Below are 22084 nucleotides of genomic sequence, written 5' to 3'. Positions count from 1 at the left end.
CCTGCTCCCTCTCTTCATTTCTTATCTCTCATATAATGTGATGCTTCTCCTGGGTTCTCAGTGTGGCGTTGGGGGAATCCTGGCACCAGTGGGAAAGTAGCCTGGAGGAGAGGATCACAGTCTCCCAGGGGTGTCCCCTGGGGAAATAGGCCAGGATAGGAGTCGGCTCACTGGACACCAGTCCCTCCATTCTCTCCCTCCTCCCCTTCCTCCTTGCAGCTCAATCCCCGACTCGCTGCCTACTTTCTAGAGGGAGCTATTTCTGACTGAGCCTCCAGATACACCCTGTGTCCCTGTCCTGGTCTGGACCCTCTACCCACCCACGGCCTCTCTTTCCTCAGCCTGGAAATCCTACTCTGGGCCTGGAGTCCCTCTGCTTCTAGCCCTGGCCCCTGGAATGCCCTCCTTCCTCTCTGCCCAGCTCCCCACCCCTGAGGGCTGGACTGTCCAGGACACTCCAACACCATCAAATTCATGAGCTCTTACATTTTGGGCCCACCTTGATTTTTCACCTGACAGCAGGTTCAGAGGTGTGAGAAAAACAGGAGGAAGCCAGGAAGGAAACACACATGAAAGGCCTGCAAGAGGATCAGGACACTTTCAAAAAATAGGCTCTGAGCTCCCCAGGAACCAGTGCAAGAAGGGTAATAGGTGCTCCATCATTTCTTTCTTTTTTCTGTTTTTTTTTTTTTGTTGTTGTTGTTGTTGTTGTTATTGTTGTTTTGAGACGGAGTCTGGCTCTGTTGCACAGGCTGGAGTGCAATGGTGCAATCTCGGCTCACCGTAACTTCCGCCTGCCAGGTTCAACCGATTCTCCTGCCTCAGCCTCCCCAGAGTTGGAGATGGGGCCTGGTAGGAGGTGTTTGGTTGGTGGTGGATCCCTCATGACTTGGTGCCATCTTCCTGATACTGAGTGGGTTCTCGTGGGATCTGGTTGTTTAAAAGTGTGTGGCACCTCCCTGTCAACTCTCTCTTGCTCCCGCTCTGGCCGTGTGAGACACCTGTTCCCCCTTCACCTTCCGTCATTATTGGAAGCTTCCTGAGGCCTCCCCAGAAGCTGAGCAGATGCCAGCATGCTTCCTGTACAGCCTGCAGACCCGTGAGCCAATCAAACCTCTTTTCTTTATAAATTACCTGGTCTCAGGGTTTCTTCACAGAAATTCAAGAATGGACTGATACAGACATTAATCTTATTAGTAAGGGCAGAGCCTCTCACCTCTCCAATGCCACCACCTCATAATACCATCACATTGGAGATTAGGTTGCAACCTGAATTTTGGTGGGATGCAAGCATTCAGACCATAGTACCCTATCTCCAAATACAGACACATACTGACGAACTGGGGTTAGGACTTCAATGTATGAATTTGGAGGAGCACAATCCAGCCTGTAACATCTGTTTTGGCTTGGGCTCCCTGCAAGCAGGCCTCAAAGAAAGGCTGTTGTACTTGGAGCTTGTTTGGGACGAGTACTCCCAGAGGCAAGACTGAGGGATGGGGAGGGGGAGAGCAAAACAGGAGCAGCAAGAAAACCAATGCAAAGGCCAGGCACAGTGGTTCCGCCTGTAATCCCAGCACTTTGGGAGGCCGAGGTAGGTGGATCACTTGGATCAGGAGTTAAGAGACCAGCCTGGCTAACGTGGCAAAACCCCGTCTCTACTAAAGATACAAAAATTACCAGCCTGGCCAACATGGCGAAATCCCGTCTCTACTAAAAATACAAAAATTAGACGGGTGTGGTGGCGGGTGCCTGTAATCCCAGCTACTTGGGAGGCTGAGGCAGGAGAATCACTTGAATCTGGGAGATGGAGGTTTCAGTGAGCCGAGATCACACCACTGCGCTCCAGCCTGGGTGACAGAGCAAGACTGTCTCAAAAAAAAAAAAAAAAAAAAAAAAAGCCAATGCAAACGTACATTGCTGAGTTCACCATTATGGAAGCCGGGGTGCCAGATCCCGCAGGATCACCGGAGCTGCCTTACAAAATGCATCTCAGAACCATCCGCCAAGGGGAAGAAAGGAGAGAGCATTGCTTCCAGGGCTCTGCCGCCTTTGAGGAAACGCTGGCCTGTAGGGTGTTCATGCCTTTGCACTTGCAGTTGAGCGTGTGTAACTGCTGAGTGGGTTACTGTGGAGGGGTGGAGGTTGGGGGATCCCACACTGTGGCATCAGCAAAGCCCCGGACTGGAAGCGAGAGGCAAGCACAGGGGCCTAGGGCAGGCCATTGTCAGCTTTCTGCCACATGGAGCTTGTCACAGCCTGCGAGGTCTGTTTACTGCACCTGGGCCTGGATTAGGAGGTGAAGCCAAGAGGTCTGAAGCCATTCAGGCGAGCTGCTCAACACAGTGCCCACCTGGCAGCATTCAGCCCCGCCCCTGCCACCAACTGGGTCCACCCATCAGAGGCCCCTTTGAGGTGCTGGCATCTGCAGTACCTGCAAAGACTTCATGCTAGAAGGTGACCGAGAAGAGCTTAGAACCCACCCTGAGTGGAAACCCCTTTCTTTACATGTTAGTCCTGGTCCTTGGCAGAAAGACCCCAGTGTAACAGATGTAGTCACAGGTTTGAGTTCAATGAGATCCACGCTGTGTCCAGTGGAGCCCTCCTGTACTTCCCTTCTCCCCTGCCCCCTCTCCCCTCTCCCCTGTCCCAGATAGCTGGGGCCTCTCATCTGACAACCCTAAAGTTGCAGGGACAAGAAGCACAAATCCACAAGGACACTGGGGCATGGTGGGTGGGGGAGTGGGCAATCCTATTTTTTTTTTTTTTTTTTTGAGACAGAGTCTTGCTCTGTCACCCAGGCCGGACTGCAGTGGTGCTATCTCGGCTCACTGCAAGCTCCGCCTCCTGGGTTCACGCCATTCTCCTGCCTCAGCCTCCCAAGTAGCTGGGACTACAGGCACCCGCCACCACGCCCGGCTAATTTTTTGTATTTTTAGTAGAGACAGGGTTTCACCGTGTTAGCCAAGATGGTCTCATCTCCTGACCTCGTGATCTGCCCACCTCAGCCTCCCAAAGTGCTGGGATTACAGGCATGAGCCACCATGCCTGGCCGGGCAATCCTATTTCTACAACTTGTCCCTGGACCATGTGTTCCAGCTTCTGGGGATGCAGCACCTGGCACTGGCTGTTGGCTCTGTGCTCGGGGTGTAGCACAAGCTGGCTGCCCCTACGTTCCATCAGGCCCAGGCTCCAGGGTGAGACTGGTGGGCATCACGCTCATGTGCTCACTGGGATCCTCCCTCGCCATAAACTGTGTCCCTTGGTCTGGGGCCTGGGTGGGCAGGATCCCACATCTCCAGATGGGGCATTCAGAGCTGCATTCTGGATGCAGTGGAGGCATGGAGATCTGTCAGGCGGCGCAGAACTGCTGCCGTGGCTGGACTCTGAGGCGAGGACTAGAAGCACGAGGGTTATAGAAGAGGGGGATGCTGCTCACAGGGCTCAGTGTGCAGATACAGAGAGGGCTCAGCACAGGATCTAGCACAGTGGGTCTACCGAATTGCCACTATGCCCATTTTACAGATGGGAAGGCTGAGGCTCAGGGGAGGAGGCAGCTTGCCCAGGGGCCCAGTGCTAGCAGGCAGCAGAGCTGGGTTGGTGACCAGCCTTAAAAAACCCGTGCTCGTAGCTGTGAGGCTGTCCTCCCTGCCTCACTGCTGACCCAGTGAGTGCACGTCTCTTTACAAAAGGAGGCTCGTTCTGTGCCTGTGCTGGCCCAGGGAACATCGAGGAGGCCAAGGTCACCCCGCATGGCCTTCTGGGGCAGCTGCTTCTCTGACCAACATCCTTTCTGAGATGGCTGGTGGCCAAAGCCACTAACTGACGGGCAGGACAAGGGGACTCTGAGCACCTTAGTCCCTACCCCACATCCCGGATCTATCCAGGATCTGAAAGTTTCTCCCGACGGGCACTACTTCCCCTCCAGCTCAGACAAGCAGGCAGGGCTCTGGGGTCAGACAGACCTGAGCTCTGCCCTCTTCCCCTCCTGGCTATGGGACCCTGGGTGAAATCTTGGTCTCCATTCCTTCATCTCACTTCATGGGGACTGAATGAGATCCAGGGGTGAGGCCCCCGGCCCAGAGCTGCTGTTAACCCAGGGCCCTCCTCTCTCAGGAAGGACACAGAGTCCACTAATGACCATTGGTCCACCAAGGCACAGAGAAGGCAAGGGGCCTGCCTAGGTCACCAGCTGGCCTGAGTCTATTCCTGACTCCCAATCCAGTCCTCCCTTGACCATACCTCAAAAGAAAATGAAGGTGGAGACATGGGGGTTGTGGGGAGAGGAAGGAGATGGGGAAGAGGGGGGACTTTACACCCACTGCCCTCCATAGTGCCTCTCACATAGGTGGTCTTCACTAAATATTTGCTGAACGATGAGTAAATGTTAAGTGGTTGGATAGACGGGGCTACAGGCGGGTGAGACCTAACTATGCGCAGTTCGGAATCCCAGCCCACCGCGTCCTGCCAGTCCTCCCACTAACCTCATTTGGTTGCTAGCAGTAGCCTTCATTTTCTTCTGAGTCACTACTCTCAACCCAGACGTGGGGCTGGGCATGCCAGGAATCTGGAGGGAAGAAAGATTGACAGAATCTCAGCACCCCACCACCAGCTCCATTTTTTTTTTTTTTTTTTGAGACAGAGTCTCTCTCTGTCGCCCAAGCTAGAGTGCAGTGGTGTGATCTCAGCTCACTGAAACCTCCGCCTCCTGGGTTCAAGCGATTCTCGTGCCTTAGCTTCCTGAGTACAGGCATCTGCCACCACGCCCTGCTAATTTTTGTATTTTTTAGTAGAGATGGGGTTTCACCATGTTGGCCAGGCTGGTCTCGATCTCTTGACCTCGTGATCCGCCTGCCTCAGCCTCCCAAAGTGCTGGGATTACAGACATGAGCCACGGCGCCCAGCCCCACCAGCTCCATTTTTAAGATGAAGAAACCGAGGCAGGGGGAGAGTCAGGAGGTTTGCTCCGCCCTGGAACACCCCACTTCCCCAGCAGCCTTGGGTCGCCACCCCTGCCCGGCTTACTCACCTCCATGGGGGAGCCTCTGTCATTCTGGCAGGTGGAGGGTGGGAGACTGGGGAACAGAATGCATTCCCCAGGGCCCTTTGAGTCATGCTGAGTCCTGTAGAAGTCCCAGCACCACCCATGGTGCTCCTGGGAAGCTCTAGCTGGCCTCTGGGAAGCACACTGGGGCTCCTGGCCCCTCTAAACAGAGACTGGCGCCCCCGCTCCATGAGCCTCTTTCCTCCTTTCCTCTCTGGCCTCTCTTGCCCTTCTCTGTGCCTGGTGGCAGGATCTAGGAGCCCATCTCTGTCCCCCATATGTACTGCGGCCTTGGGCAAGTCCCTGCCCTTCTCTAGGCCTCACTGGCCCAGCTGGAGCCCAGCCAGCAGCACAAGTCTCTCTTGACCTGACCCTCCAGGACACCGTGTCCATTGGAGCTCTGACCATACCCGCTCTCCCCTGGTGTCTTCCAGTCCCCAGCCCTCTCTCTCTCTCTCTCTCTGGCCCTCTTAGGGACTCTCCCAGAGGAAGACTGTCCCACCCCACCTCCTGGCTTCTCCTTCCTCTTGCTCTCCCTCCTCCTGCCCACCTCCCTTGGAGAATGCCAAGTCTGCAGGTTTCCCATGACCTTGAACAACCAGCAGTTTGGGAGTGAGCAGTTCAGAGCTTTGCAAGGAGGGCCTGGGGCGAGGCCCACCGTGGGTCCTGGGGGCTGCGTTGCCTTTGCACAGCACGCCCTGTCCTGCCAACCTTGCTTCATTTTTCTCCGTGGCCCGTGCCATCTTCTCACTGCTTACTTGGGTACTGTACGTGTCCATGGCCTCAGTAGAATGTCACTTCCACAAGGGTAGGGGCTTTGTCAGTGTGGCCACTGCTCGATCCCCACCCCCACGGCCTAGAACAGTGCCCGGCCCATGAGTGCTGAGGAAGGAGGATTCCTCCAAGCCACCCTGTTGGGAGCATTTCCTTGTAGGCACCTCACTACCTCTGATCCACCATCTGCCTGCCCAGGATATGCCAGGCCCCTTTCGGAAGATGGGGAAACTGAGGCTCGGAGAGGAAGAGACGAAGGGAAGGAACGGATGCAACGTCACAAAGTGGTCCCTGGTGTGAGTCCAGAGTAGAACCCACGCGTCCAGGCCGCGGCGCCTGACTTAGCCCTTCCTCCCACCAGCCAGTCCGCCATCCCAACAGCTAAGAGGGGACAGGACTGCCCCACCCGCACCCCAGGTCCCTGAGGCCTTCGGCCACGCCCCTGTGGTAGAGTGGAGAAACTGAGGCACCCCGCCTCCTCGGATTCCTCGCAAGCCTCTTTCCCAAACCCGCGTCCGCGCCCCCTCCCCGGGACCTGCCCTCCCTCCCCGCCCCGGCCCCAAGCAGCCCCCGGCCCTTGGCAGAGCTCAGCTCGCGCCCACCCGGAGCCGGGGAGAGAAAGAAAAATGAGTTTTCCTGCCGCCCGGTGGCGGTGTCAATTGATCGGCGCGGGAGGGGCTTCGCGCCGCGCTGGGGGCCTCGCTCACAGCTGCCGGCGCGCAATTATCGGGGAAAAACTGGGGCGGCTACCGCGGTGAAATTAGTTATCGATCTCTCGGCGGAGCCGCGGGGCCGCGCTTGGCGCTGACGGCTGCAGACCCGGCCGGGCACGCTCGGCGGGGCGGGGACCAGGGGGGCGGCGGGGGCGGGCCCCCTGCTCGGGCCTCTCCCTCCTCCTCCCGTTCTCCCGTTCTCCCCTCCTCCCCTCCTCCCTCACCCTCTCGCCCGCGCTCCCCTCTCCCATTCATCCCGCCGTCGTATCGACCCGCGGCCGACCCCACGCGGTCAGGCGCCCCCGCCCCCTGCCCTCTCCTCTCCCAGCCTGGCCTCCCCCGCGGGGGCTGTCATCGAGCGTCTGGCACGACCGGACCCTGCCCCGGAGGAGGAGGGACCACAGCCGGGGGCGGGAGCCAGCCTTGTGCTCGCAGGCCTGGGTTCGGAGCCCAGCTGCCGGGAATGGTTTCCAGATCTCCCTGAGCCTCAGTTTCCTCATCTGTAAACCGGGTGGTGGTGGCTTCATCCACCTCTTTGAGAAGACAGCAGGACAGGCGTCCTGAGAAGTGAGTTTGCCTGGAAGCTGCCGGGCTGTAGTTTGCGTTGATACCACCGATCTTCCCAGTCACTCTAAGAGACGGGTCATATCCCCGTTTTACAAATGAGGAAAGTAACTCAGCGAGGGGAGACGCCGTGTCCAGGGACACACAGTAAGCAGGTGGCCCAGGAGGACCCCAGAGCCCGGCTGGAGGTGGCGGAGTTGTGGTGGGGGCGGTGCCTGCGGAAGGGGAGGGACAGGAGCAGAGGGCAGAGGGAGGTCAGTGCTGGCACCTGCAGCCCTGTCAGCCTGCGAGGGTGTAGAGGTTTGGGAGGTCTTAGCAAAGTGGTGCATACAGATCGCAGAGGCTGGGTGGAGGGAGGAGAGGGTCAGGTCAGGGCTCCCCAGCCCTCGCTGAGCCATTGGCTCGGCAGCCTCCTGGTTGGAGAGGAAGAGTGGGGAGAGGCAGGGAAAGGAGAGGGACGCAAACAGGAGAAGGAGAGGGTTTTTGCTCAGAGCCAGCCTGCCACCCTCTCCTTTCCCAGCACTAGGCTGCATCTGGGAGGGAGGCTGCAGGCTGGAGAGCAGGGGATTTGAGTTCCAATCCTGAGGCTCCACTAGGTGGTGTGTGACCTTGAGCAAGGCCCTGCCCCTCCCCAGGCCTCCTATGGAGATGGTATTGGGTCTTATGTCCCTCAAGGCTCCTTGTGGCTCCCCTCTGCCTGCCAGCCACAGCCTCATGCATCTCAGAGTCTCAGAACATCTTTTTTTTTTTTTTTTTTTTTTTTTTTTTTTTTTTTTTTGAGAAAGAGCCCCTCTGTCACCCAGGCTGGAGTGCAGTGGTGCAATCTCAGCTCACTGCAACCTCCACCTCTTGGGTTCAAGCGATTCTCCTGCCTCCACCTCCTGAATAGCTGAGATTACAGGTGTGCACCACCACGCCTGGCTAATGTTTTTTGTCTTTTAGCAGAGATGGGGTTTCACCATGTTGCCCAGGCTGGTCTCTAACTCCTGAGCCCAGGCAACCTGCCCACCTCAGCCTCCCAAAGTGCTAGAATTACAGGCGTGAGCTACCGCGCCCGGCCCTCAGCACATCTTCATCCAGCACCTACTGTGTGCCAGGACTGTGCTGGGCACAGCAGATACAACTGAGGACAAGAAGGCCCCTGTCCCAGTTCTCTCGGAGCTAGATGCGTATTAAGCAAACCATTGTATGGCCGTGCACTTACACCTTGGGGGGCATTCAAGGGGACTGACAGGATAAGTGTGCTGGGGTGGGTGGGTCACCAGGGAAGACTCCCAGAGTCAGCGACATTTGAAGGTAGGATGTGGCAGGGGCAGGGAAGAGCAGCCTTTGCTGGGGAACGACATGAGCCAAGGCCCAAGCTCAAAAGGAACTCTGAGCATGGCAGAAACGGAGAAAGGCTGGTGTGCTGGAGGCAGAGAATGCTGGAGAACAGGTGAGGACAGTGAGGCCGGCAGGGCCAGGCCATGGTGGGCTTGGGTGCTGTGAAGGAGGTTATGCTCCTTCCTGAGGGTGGGGGAACACAGAAGGCATTTGATCGTAGAGGGACAGGGTCAAGTCCGGCCCCTCGGCTGGAAGCCTGTGTCTTCCTGTTCGCCCAAAGCAGAAGTCCTGCTTTGGAGGTCTGGCTTTGTTCTTGGCCTCTCTAAGCCTCAGTTTCCTATTCTGTAAAATGGAGATAATGACCTGCACTGCTGCAGTGGCTGTGGGTTTTGGTGGAGACAGCCGTGGGTTCAAGTCTTCCCTTCCAAGCTGTGAGACCTTGGGCGGTGTCCAACAAGTGGCTCAAAGGGGCTCTGTGTTCTCCCTCTCCCAGCTTTCCTGGCTCCCCAGATGGGATTCTAGATGTGTCCTCAGGATCCAGAACAAGGTCTCCTTGGTGACAGGGGAGGCGGTGGGTAGCCCCTCTGCTGGCCTGATGGTGAGGAGAGGCAGGGCGGGAGGGCTGGAGGCCAGTGCTGGGGGTCGCTGCTCCAGCCTCTTCCCCTCTGGACTCCCCTTGCTGGCTGCAAGAGGACACAGAAAATGGCAGAGGGACAAGCTGCCCTGTTGGCTGCCTTACATTCTGTAAAAACTGGTCCTCCCTGGCTTCTGGGGAGCTCGCTATATTCTATTCTTGATTTGGAGATGGGTATTACAGATGAGTTCCCTTTGTAAAGGTTCACAGAAGTGAACACCTGGGATGCATTTCTGTGTATGTGTCACACTTCAACAAAAAGTGCCACTGCAGTGGCTCATGCCTGTAATCCCAGCACTTTGGGAGGCTGAGGCAGGCCAATCACTAAGGTCAGGAATTCAAGACCAGCCTGGCCAACATGGTGAAACCCTATCTCTACTACAAATACAAAAATTAGCCAGGTCTGGTGGCGTGCACCTGTAATCCTAGCTACTTGGGAGGCTGAGGCAGGAGAATCACTTGAACCCGGGAGATTGTAGTGAGCTGAGATCGTGCCACTGCACTCCAGCCTAGGCGACAGAGCAAGACTTCATCTCAAAAAAAAAAGAAAAAAGTGCCACTGGCTTCCTTCTCTGACCTGCTAGTACATCCCACCTGGCGGAAGACAAGAGTGAGGCCCTGGGGGAACTGAGCCCTCATCTGACTGCAGTGGGTCCAGAGGGAGCCCGTACATGCGCCCGCTGGAGTGGATTCTGTCTCCAGCTCCCCCAGGTCTGAAGAACACATCTGGCCGGTTTCTGGGATTCCTGTGACTATAGAATGTGCCTGCTGACAGGGGCCACTGAGAGAAAATTAACCATGGCACCTCAGGATCAAAACCCTCTGGTCGGCCTGTGCGGTGGCTCACGCCTGTCATCCCATCACTTTAGGGGGCCAAGGAGGGGCAGACCACTTGAGGTCAGGAGTTCAAGACCAGCCTGGCCAACATAGTGAAACCCCGTCTCTACTAAAAATACAAAAAAATTAGCTGGGTGTGGTGGTGGGCACCTGTAATCCCAGCTACTCAGGAGGCTGAGGCAGGAGAGTTGCTTGAACCTGGGAGGTGGAGGTTGCAGTGAGCCGAGATCGCACCACTGCACTCCAGCCTGGGTGACAGAGCAAGACTCCATCTCAAAAAAAAAGAAAAACAAGCTAACAAAAACAACCATCTGGTCTCTGGGCATGGTGGCTCACACCTGTAATCCCAGCACTTTGGGAGGCTGAGGTGGATGGATCACATGCAGTCAGGAGTTCGAGACCAGTGTGGCCAACATGGAAAAACCTCTTCTCTACTAAAAATATGAAAATTAGCCAAGCATGGTGGCGGGCGCCTGTAATCCCAGCTACTCGGGAGGCTGAGGCAGGAGAATCACTTGAACCTGGGAGGCAGAGGTTGCAGTGAGCTGAGATCGCGCCATTGCATTCCAGCCTGGGCAACCAGTGAAACTCCATCTGAAAAAAAAAAAAAAAGAGCTGGGATCCTGATTTTCATCCCCAGCTCCCTGGGGCAGAGCAGGTTGTGGCTGGGCCCACCTGAAACCTACCCCTCTAGAGGAATGATACCTTCACCATTAATCAGCAGACAAAATGTGCCATGGGACAGGCTCAGGCAAAGCCAGTCTCCTTGGCAGCGTCCTTCCTGCACATCCCCTCACTCTCCACCCCCACTTCTCGGAGGAAGGGGGGTTTCCAGGCTGGGGCAAGTCCTCCTGCTCCCTCCATCCATCTGATCCTGGCTATGCGTCTGGCTGTCCGACCATCCTTCTTCCTCCCTGGCAGGTGAGCCATTAAGCTCCAGGTCCCCAAAGCACCAGCCTGCAACCTCAGCACTAAGTGCATTTGCTGCCATTAGCAAGAAGCCTTGGCCAGGTTAGTCCAGTCTAATGCACAGGCCACCTCATCCCTACTCCCTGGGCACTGCTTGTCAAAACTCCATCCATTGAGGAATAACAGAACCTGAGAAGAAAAGATGGGGGCTCCAGGACCCAACATGGACAGTCGTGTAGGTTGCTCACTGCACAAGTGGAGCTGCAATTCAGCCAGTCCTCCATTTGCCAGGCTGAGGGCCCTGGCACAGGCTGCGTCCTGCACATGGGGTGGTGCCCTTTTCTAATCCCTTCCAAGGTGCTATAGGGGAAGAACCATGGCCTGTGTGGGTTGCGGGAAGAAACTACCTGAGAACTCGAGTCACCACATCTTTTTTTTTTTTTTTTGGACAGACTCTTGCATTGTCAGCCAGGCTGGAGTGCAATGGTGCAATCTCAGCTCACTGCAACCTTTGCCTCCCAGTTTCAAGCCATTCTCATGCCTCAGCCTCCCAAGTAGCTGGAATTAGAGGTGTGCACCACCACACCAGGCTAATTTTGTATTTTTAGTAAAGACAGGGTTTCACCCTGTTGGCCAGGCTGATCTCAAGCTCCTGACCTCAGGTGATTCACCTGCCTCGGCCTCCCAAAGTGCTGGGATTACAGGTGTGAGCCACCGTGCCTGGCCGCTACATCATTATTTTCCAAGTTGCATTTTGATTAAATTCCTTTTGGAGTACAGTTCTATGAATTTTATGACAAGCATCAATTTGTGTAACCATCACACTATCAGCATCCAGAACAGTTCTATCATCTGAAAAGGCTTCCTCTTCCTATCTTTTTGTAGCCACGCCCTGGCCTCACCCCTAACCCCTGGCATCCACTGATGTCCATCTCTATATTTTGTCTTTTGGAGTGTGTCATATAAATGGAATTGTGTAGTGTGTGATCTTTTAAGATTGGCTTTTGAGGGAGGTGGGGGGGTCAGCCCCGCGCCCAGCCAGCCGCCCCGTCTGGGAGGGAGGTGTGGGGGTCAGCCCCCGGCCCAGCCAGCCGCCCCGTCCGGGAGGGAGGTGGGGGGTTCAGCCCCCTGCCCAGCCAGCCGCCCCGTCCGGGAGGGAGGTGGGGGTGTGAGCCCCCCGCCCGGCCAGCTGCCCCGTCCGGGAGGGAGGTGGGGGGGTCAGCCCCCCGCCCGGCCAGCCGCCCCGTCCGGGAGGTGAGGGGCGCCTCTGCCCGTCCGCCCCTACTGGGAAGTGAGGAGCCCCTCTGCCCGGCCACCACCCCGTCTGGGAGGTGTACCCAACAGCTCATTGAGAACGGGCCATGATGACAATGGTGGTTTTGTGGAATAGAAAGGGGGGAAAGGCGGGGAAAGGATTGAGAAATCGGATGGTTGCCGTGTCTGTGTAGAAAGAGGTAGACACGGGAGACTTTTCATTTTGTTCTGTACTAAGAAAAATTCTTCTGCCTTGTGATCCTGTTGATCTGTGACCTTACCCCCAACCCTGTGCTCTCTGAAACATGTGCTGTGTCCACTCAGGGTTAAATGGATTAAGGGCGGTGCAAGATGTGCTTTGTTAAACAGACGCTTGAAGGCAGCATGCTCCTTGAGAGTCATCACCACTCCCTAATCTCAAGTACCCAGGGACACAAACACTGCGGAAGGCCGCAGGGTCCTCTGCCTAGGAAAACCAGAGACCTTTGTTCACTTGTTTATCTGCTGACCCTCCCTCCACTATTGTCCTATGACCCTGCCAAATCCCCCTCTGTGAGAAACACCCAAGAATGATCAATAAAAAAAAAAAAAAAAAAAAAAAAGATTGGCTTTTTTTTTTTCACTCAGAATAATCATTTTGAGCTCTGTCCAAGGTGTTGCCTGGATCAATTCTTGGCTCTTCTTTATTACTGAGTGATAGTCCATGGTATGGATGGACCACAGTTTGTTTATCTATTTGGGTTGTTTCTAGGCTATGACAAATAAAGCTTCTATGAACATTCATGTATGTGTCTTTGCATGGACCTAAGTTTTCATTTCTCTGGGATAAATGCCCAGGAGTAGGTTGGCTACATCATACGATATGAATATGGTTCACTTTTTAAGAACATGCCAAACTGTTTTCCAAAGTGGCTGTATCATTTTGCATCCTCAGCAGCAATGCACAAGAGTTTAAGTTGCTCTGCAGACTTGTTAGCTTTTGGAATTATCAGTATTTTTTTTTTAGCCATTTAAGGATGCGGGGAGTGATATCTCATTGTAATTTTGACTTTTATTTCCTTGGTGGCTAATAATGGTTGAGCACCTTTTTATAGGTTCAGTTGTCATCCCTGTATCTTCTCTGAGGGAGTGTCTGTATGAGTCTTTTTTCCACTTTTAATTAGTTTTTTTTTAACTGTTGAGTTATTAGAGTTCTTTATAATTTCTGGATACAAGACTTTTGTCAGATAAGTGATGTGCAAATATTTTTTCATAGTTCATTCTCTTAACAGTATCTTTCTTAGAGCAAAAGTTGTAAATTTTTATGAGCTGAAAATTATCAATTTTTTTCTTTATGGATTAGGCTTTATTGTCATATCTAGGAACTCTTTGCCTAACACCAAGTCCCAAAGAATTTTTTTTTTTGAAACATAGTCTTGTTCTGTTGCCCAGGCTGGAGTGCAGTGGGGTGATCTCGGCTTACCACAACCTCCACCTCCCAGGCTCAAGTGATCCTCCCACCTCAGCCTCCTGAGAAGCTGGGACTATAGGCATGCACCACTAAATCCAGCTAATTTTTGAGAGACAGGGGGTCTCGCTATAGACCCCATCCCTTTAGTATTTTTTTAGTAGAGACAGTTATCACCATATTGCCCAGGCTGGTCTTAAACTCTTGGGCTCAAGAGATCCTCCTACCTCAGCCTCCCGAAGTGCTGGGATTATAGGCATGAACCACTGTGCCCAGCCCCAAAGATCTTTTCCTCGGTTTCCTTCTAAAAGTTTCTTATAGCTATAGATCTTATGTTTAGGTCTATGATCCATTGTGAGTAGATCTTTGTATTTGATGTGAGGTAAGGGTCAAGATTCTTATTTTCCATATGGGTGTCCAATTATCTCTCAGTATTTACTAAATGAAGAAATGAAAAGCACAAAGGATCTGATAGCAAGGCTGGCGAAATGAGGGAAGTCAAGACTGTGCAGTAATCAATGAATAAAGAAAATTTTTTTAAACATATGATGTTTCAACAAATGATGAACAATTGGATATCTTTTTTTTTTAATTGTGACAGAGTCTCAGTCTGTTGCCCAGGCTGGAGTGCAGCGGTGTGATCTCAGCACACAAAAACCTCCACCTCCTGGGTTCAAGCGATTCTCATACCTCAGCCTCTCAAGTAGCTGGGATTACAGGCATGTACCACCATGCCCAGCTAATTTTTTTATTTTTAGTAGAGACAGGATTTCACCATGTTGGCCAGGCTGGTCTCGAACTCCTGACCTCAAGTGATCTGCCTGCCCTGGCTTCCCAAAGTGCTGGGATTACAGGCGTGACCCACCACACCTGGCCAGATACCTTTTTTTTTCTTTTGTTTTCTGATACAGTCTCTCTCTCTCTCTCTCTCTCTCTCTCTCTCTCTCTCTCTCTCTCTCTCTCTCTCTCTCTCTCTCTCCCAGGCTGCAGTGCAGAGAAATAATCACGGCTCACTGCACCTCAGCCTCTGGAGTAGCTTGGACTACAGGCATGTGCCACCTCACCCGGCTAATTTTTAAATGCTTTCTAGAGATGGGAGTCTCACTTTGTTGCCCAAGCTGGTCTTAAACTCCTGGGCTCAAGTGGTCCTCCTGCCTCAACCTCCCAAAGTGCTGGGATTACAGATGTGAGCCACCGCACCCAGCTTGGACATCTACTTTTTAAAAAATGAACCTCAACCTAAACCTTATATCTTATAACAAAATTAACTTGCTCCTTTCAGACTAGAGAAGGGACAAAAAATAATAATAATTAACCAGCAGGCTGGAGATGGTGGCTCACGCCTGTAACCCTAGCACTTTTGAAGGTCAAGTTGGGCAGATCTCTTGAGCCCAGGAGTTAGAGACCAGCCTGGGCAACGAAGCAAGACTCCATTGCTACAAAAATTACAAACATTAACCGGGTGTGGTGGTGCATGCCTGTAGTCCCAGTTATTTAGTTAATCCTGAGGTGGGAGGACTGCCTGAGCCTGGGAGGGGGTTGAGGCTGCAGTGATCTGTGATTGTGCCACTGCATTTCAGCCTGGGCAACAGAGCGAGATCCTGTCTCAAAATATAATAATAATAATAATAATAATAATAATAATAATAATAATAAGCTGGTAATGGATCATAGATTTAAATGTAAAATGTAAAGACAGACAGCAACCGGGTCTGTATCAGGCGGGATTCTCAGCCTGGCCCCACTGTTGGATGATGCAGAAGCAGTGAGGATTGTGGAAGCTCAAGGGACAAGTCAAGTGGGCACCTTCTGTGGTCACAGCTGACCTGTCCCCGAGTTTAAGGGTGGAAAGGAGGGAAGTAACATTTTTCAAGCATGATGTCTGCACTGCAATCCCCATTAAGTGAGTTCTTAGCTTCATCCCATTTAATCCTAAAACAAATCAATACGCTTTTGGAGGCTGGAGTTTTTATCCTCGCTCTATGAGTGAGAAAATTCAGTTCAGAGAGGTTAAGGAACTTCTCTGGGGTCACACAGTAAATGGGGCAGAAGGGTTTGGACCCAAGGTACTCACCTCTGCTGGAGGCAGACAGGGGACAGTCAGGCCAAGCTGATGACTCTGGACCTGCATTGTTGCCCGTCTGGTTTTGGGCCCTTGGTCAAGGTGGGTGTGGGGTATGGGAGCCTTTCTCCCAAGATTGTGGGGAGATCTGAGGCCTCCATTTTCCCAAGAGCCTCAGCTCACTCCCCTTCATGATGAGGCCCTTACTGGGTGGCTCTTCTTGGGAACTCACAAACCCATCCCCAACAGTGCGGCACCATCCCAGGCCTGACAAGGGTGGACGCCTTGATGTCCTGGTGTCATACTCTCCTGGAGGTATAGAAATAAGCAGGAGGACACGCACCAGGCCTGGGCTGATCTGTGTCCATCCCTGCCTCCAGTGACTCGCCAGCCCCTGCAGCTGTTTGACCTTCTTGAAACTCCTTCTGCATTCTCACCCCCACACCATTGCCGAGGCTGGAGCCTCCTTCCAGGATCCCCTCTCCACCTCCTCTCCCTTCTTCAAATGCGGCCGCTGTTTCAGCATTCAGCTCAAGTCATGCCTTTCCCAGCAGCTCCCATGAGCTCTCCCTCTTCTGAACTCCTGCAGCTGATAAATACAGTCTAGTCCTCCATGGTCTCAACAGCTAGTGTTTGCCAGCGTAGCCTTCTAGAGAGGCATGGACCTTCTAGAGCCTTCTAGATGCTCCTAGAGAGGCATCTCCAGCAGTCTCATGGCCAAACAGCTTGTGAATGTTCCAAGGGTAGGAGTTGAGTTTTAAGCCCCTCTCTGCTTGGCACAGGGAAAGCTGGTTCCAGCCCATGGCTCAGGATCTGACAGCCCACTCTGCCACTTCCTTGCTGCATGCTCAGTGTCTGGCACAAAAATATGCTCGATTAAGGGCAATAGTTGCTGCTGTCATTTTCACGGCTATTATTTTTATTATCAAGATGATTTCTGGAACTGTGTATGGAAAGTGAGAGGGTTCAAAGTCCTCCTCCAGTGGGAAGCCTCCCCTCCTGGCCACTCCACCCTCCCACCCCCGAGGCATGCCCACCTTTCCCTCCTGGTGGCCTGCTGCTCCCAGCTGCTCCTCCAGTCTCCCCAGCAGGGCTGCAGGCTCCTGTAGGGGATCGTGGTAGGCGGGGACAGAGGTGGGCTTTTAATTCTTCCCCACTCAGACCCTCAGTGTGACAGTGAAGGGGCCCCAGGGATGCCCAGATCAGCAGAGGGGAGTGGGTACTTGCCTAATGGAGGCCCAGGGCCCAGGCCTCCTGCAGTCTGATTAGATTTTATGATCCCAAAGGAGCTGCCCTGGATCCCTGCTCACCTTCAAGCCTCATCAGCACCAGGCCCTGTCCATCGTGAATTTCAAACTCAGCCTCTGCTGACACAACCTTCCCCCTCCACCACCCCCACCGCGTATCACACCCCACCCAACCATCCTGCCTTGGCACCAGACCGCCACCCTCTCCAACCTAGGTGCTGCCAGGCCTCTCTGCCCCTCCCAGCTCTCCTCCCTGCCCACATTTGCCCAATAGCTGGGGATCCATTTCTAGAACACAAATCTGCTTGTACGTACCCCCCACCCCCACCCCCGGACTCCTGCTACTTTCAGCAGGGGGTGGGGGGCTTCTCTAGACTTTCATGCATAATTATCACCTGGGGAACCTCTTAAAGATATAGCGCCTTATCTTCATCGGGAGCATGGTCTCCTGGGTCTGCCGCAGGGCCCAGGAATCTGCATTTCATGAGTCTCCCTTCAGACTGGGGGACTGTGGCCCCCGGTCCAGTTCACGTTCTGGTGGAAAACTCTGAAGAGACAAGAATATAAATGAGAGCCTGGCCTCCCCAGGCCCGTGAAGGCATTTCTGAGGGAAGGAGGACAGAAGAGCCCTTCAGCCAGCAGCGTCCTGGCTGCTTCTCTCACTTGGGAACACCTAGACCTTTGCTACCTGGACCTTCATTTCTGCTCTTGCTCCAGGGCCCACAGATGTCAGGGGTGGGCCTGCTTGGACCCAGCTCTTTAATCTCTCACCTACAGGATAAGGTGCAGGGCGCTCAGCTTGGTGAGTGAAGCCCCTTGGAGCCTGGCTCCCTCTTCGGCTCCAACTGAACGCCTCCCTCCTCCGCATCACCCCCCAGCACCCAGCCTATGGTATTTGAATGTTCTGGGCACATTCTCGTCTCCGTGCCTTTGCACATGTTCCCTCTGCCTAGAACATTCTTCTTCCATGTATCTCCTTGGGGAACTCCTATTCATCCCTCAAAACCCAACTTAGATTTCATGATTCTGAGGGCCCCTTTGTGCCCTCACCCCCTTCTCTGACTGCATCGACCCTGCTTTGTTATAATTATTTCATCCTGCTTCTTCTCTGCAGGCAGCTTATCAGCTTTTCCATGACGGTTTTAGAATGAGACCTGGCTTTGCCTCAGGCCCTTGTACTTTCCAGGGCTCCGAACTTGGGTGTTATCCACCCACCTGTCTACAACCTTTTTGTTCGTGATGAAATGGGGGCTTAAAGTATTGCCCACCGCATTGTGTTGCCTTGACATTGAGACAAGATCTCACATGCGAAGGGTTCAGCACAGTGTGTGGCGTAGAGTCACAGCACTGGTTCGTTTTTTTCTTTTTCTTTTTTTTTTTGATACGGAGTCTCACTCTGTTGCCCCGGTTGGGGTGCAGTGGCATGATCTCAGCTCACTGCAACCTCCGTCTCCTGGGTTCAAGCAATTCTCCTGCCTCAGCCTCCCAAATAGCTGGGACTACAGGCGCGAGTCACCATGCCTCGGCTAATTTTTGTATTTTTAGTAGAGACCGGTTTTCACCATGTTGGCCATGGTGGTCTCAAACTCCTGACCTCAAGTGACCCGCCCATCTCAGCCTCCCTAGATGTTAGGATTACAGGCATGAGCCACCGCACCTGGCCAGTACTGGTTATTTCAACGTCTTTCCTGTGGGCAGGCAAGCTCTGTGAGGCCACGGAGGGCATTTTCTCCATCTTGGGATTCATGGAGTCCAGGGTGGGGCATTTCCCAGGGTGGACCCCAGGTGGACAGGTCTGTGGGTGGCTTGGGCTCTGCTGCTCTGCCCCTTCCCTGGAAACTGTCCCCACTCTGAGTGCCTTTGCTGGCTGTGCTGTGGGGATAGGGCCTCATGTCCCTCGAGGGGGCTTCCATCTGGAGTGAACGGAGCCAGTGGGGCCCACAGGGTGAATGGGCAGTGCTGGGGGCAGATGTACAGTCAGGAGAGAGGGACTTTGACCTTCAGAACACCATCGGCAGAACTTGGGGCCTTTCCAAGGGGGGCTGCCTCCATTCCATCCCCCAAGGGCCTGCCCAGCATGGGGGGAGCAGGGCAGGGTGCCCGGGAGGCATGAGGACTGGCCCCAGCTGCAGCACTCGGCGAGAATCTCTTGAACTCTCGGCTGCACCGAAAGGCGAAGGCAGCGGGGCCCTGGAGATGGTCTCCATGACAACCGCTGCCACTCACTCCGCATCTTGGATGTAAATTAGTTACAATTTTATTAGTGTGCAGAATTTCAAGAGTCCAGATCCTGTCTTGGAAGGGAAAAGGAAGGTGGGGGGACAGAGGAGTTTCCGAAGCTTCACATCCCCACAGGGACCCCAAATCCAAGGTGGATCCATGGACAGTGAATTGGGCCATGCACCCTAATTCATCAGCCCTGGTCAGGCTCTCTGGAGAGAAGGAAACACATAGGACTGTTCCCGCTCTTCTGGCCACCTCCTCACAGCAGCCTGGGAGCACCCCCTCCCCAGTCGACAGGAAAGCAGCTGAAGGCCATGGGGGTCATTAGCTGGCACAAGGGCACCCACTCACCAGGAGCCAGACACTTGCTCTCCCACTCTGCCCAGCAGCCCTCCAAGGTTGGTTAAGGTTCACTGAAACACTGCTGGGCACCACATAACCAGGTGAGGACATCCCCAGGGGTTTGGGCGTCTGGACAAACACCAGGCCCTGCTTGCCAAGAGTCAGCATGTAGAGCTACTATCCTGTGGCTGGAGGTCGTGTGTTTGTCCCCTCTAGCACTGGGCAAATGAGGCTGGTGACACCCGAGTCACAGCAGCGTTTGATGCTCTGAATCATGTGTGCATATACACATGCACACACAGATTTTTCTCTAAGGAGGGAATAAAGGGACAGATTTGTCTCTTCCCTAAGGCCATTGTTAAAATTAGTTGTGTTCTCCCAAGGCGCAGCCCACCGTGTGTGTCCCTGAGGTGGCTCTACTCCCTCTGCTTTGGGGTGAGCCACAAGAGAGCAGGCCCCAATGAGGTCATGGGCCAGCAAGGCCACCAGAACTCCCCATCTGTGGCTGGCACTGAGGTGGACACTGAGAAGTTGGTACTGCAGAGGCAGGGCCAGGTGCAGGAGGAGAGGGTGTGGAGTGTATCAGGGCAGGTCCCACACAGGTGTGAGTCCCTGGGCCAACAAAGAGGAGAAAAAGCAGGCCTGGCTGAGAGAACAGCCTATATTAAGGCTTAGAGGCATGACAAAGCCTGAGTGAGGGCTTGGGGCATGGGAGGATAAGAGAATGAACAAGGAATAGAGGAGAATGAATGGAGACTGAAGGGAGATTGATGGGAAGGTGGATGGGAGGATGGATGGAAAAATTGTTGCAAGGGTGGATGGGAGGATGGATGAAAGGATGGATGGGAGGATGGGGGAGAATGGATGGAAAGATGGATGAGAGGATTGATGAGAAGATGGATGGGAAGATGGCTGAAGGATGGATGGAAAAATGGATGCAAGGATGAATGAAAGATGAATGGGTGGATGGATAGAAAGATGGATGGGAGGATGGGTGGGAGGAAAGATGAAGGATAGATGGGAAAATGGATGGGAGGATGCATGGGAGGATGGACAGAAGAATGGATAGGAGAATGGATGGAAAGATGGATGGGAGGATGGATGGGAGGATAGATGGAGGATAGATGGGAAGGTGGAGGGAGGTAGAAGAGAGGATGGATGGAGAATGAATGGAAGATTGATGGGAGAATGGATGAGAGGGTGGACAGAGGAATGGATGGAAGATAAATGGAAAGATGGATGGGAGCATTGATGAGAAAATTGACGAAAGGATGGATGAAAGGATGGATGGGAGGATAGAGGGAGAATGGATGAATGGGAGGATGGATGGAAAAATGAATGGGAGGATGAATGAAGGATGGATGGGTGGATGGATGGAAAGATGGATGGGAGGATGGATGACAGGATGAATGAAGGATAGATGAGAAAATGGATGGTAGAATGCATGGGAGGATAGACAGAGGAATGAATGGGAGGATGGATGAAAAGATGGATGGGAGGATGGATGTAAAGATGAATAAGAGGATGGATGACGGGATGAATGAAGGATAGATGGGAAAATGGATGGGAAGATGCAGGAGAGGATAGACAGAGGAATGAATGGGAGGATGGATGAAAAAGATGGATGGGAGGATGAATGAAGAATAAGATGGAGGGAGAATGGATGGGAAGATAAATGGAGAATGGATGGAAGATAGACGGTAGGGTGGATGGGAGGATGGATAGAGGGTGGACAGAGAAATAGAGGAAAGATGAATGGAAAGAAAGATGGGAGGATTGATGGGAGGGTGGATGGGTGGATGAATGGAAGATGGATGGAGGATGGATGAAAGATGGATGGAGAATGGCTGGGAGGATGGATGAAAAGATGAGTAGAGGATGAATGGGAGGGTGGTTGAAGGATGAAATGAAAGATGGATGGGAGGATGCATGGGAGGATCGACAAAAGGATGGGAGAATGGATGGAGGATGGAAGGAAAAAATGGATGAGAGGATGGATAGAGAATGGAGGGAGGATGGATGGGAAAGTGGAAAGAGAATGAATGGAGGATGAACAGAAGATGGATGAAGGATGGATGGAGGATTGCTGGAAGGATGGATGGAAAGATAGATGGAGAACAAAAGGGAGAATGGATGGGAGGATGGTGATGATGGATGGGGATAGACAGAGGAATGAATTGGAGGATGGATGGAAAAATGGATGGGAGAATGGATGGAGAATGGATGGAGGATAGATTGGAGAGTGAATGGGAGGATAAATGGCAGGGTGAACAGAGGAATAAATGGAAGATGGATAAGAGAATGGAAGGATGGATGAGAGGAGGAATGAAGGATGGATGAAGTGTGGATGGAGGATGGCTGGGAGGATGGGTGAAAAGATGAATGGGGTATGGATGGGAGAATGGATGAGAGGGTGGTTGAAGGATAAATGGAAAGATGGATAGAAGATGAATGAAGGATGGATGAGAGGATGGATGGTGGATGGATAATGGATGGGGGGATGGATGGAAGGATGGTTGGGAGGATGATTGGAGGATGGATGGGAGGATGAATGAAGGATGGAAGATGGATGGGATAATGGAGGGAGAATGGATAGATGAGAAGATGGATGGATGGGAGGATGGATAGGATGATAGATGGATGGAGGACAGATGGGAGGACAGGTGAAGGATGGATAAAAAGATGGATGGGAGAATGAAGAATGGATGGGAGTA

General features: G+C 53.3%; 1 long non-coding RNA gene across 4 annotated transcripts, besides 1 other annotated feature; it reads right to left on the bottom strand.

The window, feature by feature from the left end:
• LOC105372957 (uncharacterized) lies at positions 26 to 6154 on the bottom strand. Of its 4 annotated transcripts, XR_938076.1 has the most exons (4): positions 5592 to 6154; positions 5027 to 5072; positions 4482 to 4564; positions 50 to 137 (listed from the first exon to the last, which is right to left on the bottom strand). It is a non-coding gene; the product is annotated as an uncharacterized LOC105372957 (long non-coding RNA). The 4 variants fall into 4 exon arrangements; XR_938078.2 differs by having other exon boundaries at positions 26 to 101; positions 5027 to 6154; XR_938075.2 differs by having other exon boundaries at positions 5027 to 6154.
• Positions 7548 to 7842: a silencer, noted in NCBI's record as "tiled region #8041; HepG2 Repressive non-DNase unmatched - State 4:PromP". NCBI's record gives its function as "represses a minimal TATA promoter and a strong SV40 promoter by Sharpr-MPRA in HepG2 cells {active_cell/tissue: HepG2}" and the evidence as "EXISTENCE:reporter gene assay evidence [ECO:0000049][PMID:27701403]".

This window comes from Homo sapiens, chromosome 22 (genome assembly GCF_000001405.40).
Source record: "Homo sapiens chromosome 22, GRCh38.p14 Primary Assembly".
Lineage (NCBI taxonomy): Eukaryota > Metazoa > Chordata > Mammalia > Primates > Hominidae > Homo > Homo sapiens.
The sequence above is the reverse complement of the archived record's forward strand: the minus strand, read 5'-3'. Positions and strand labels throughout refer to the sequence as shown.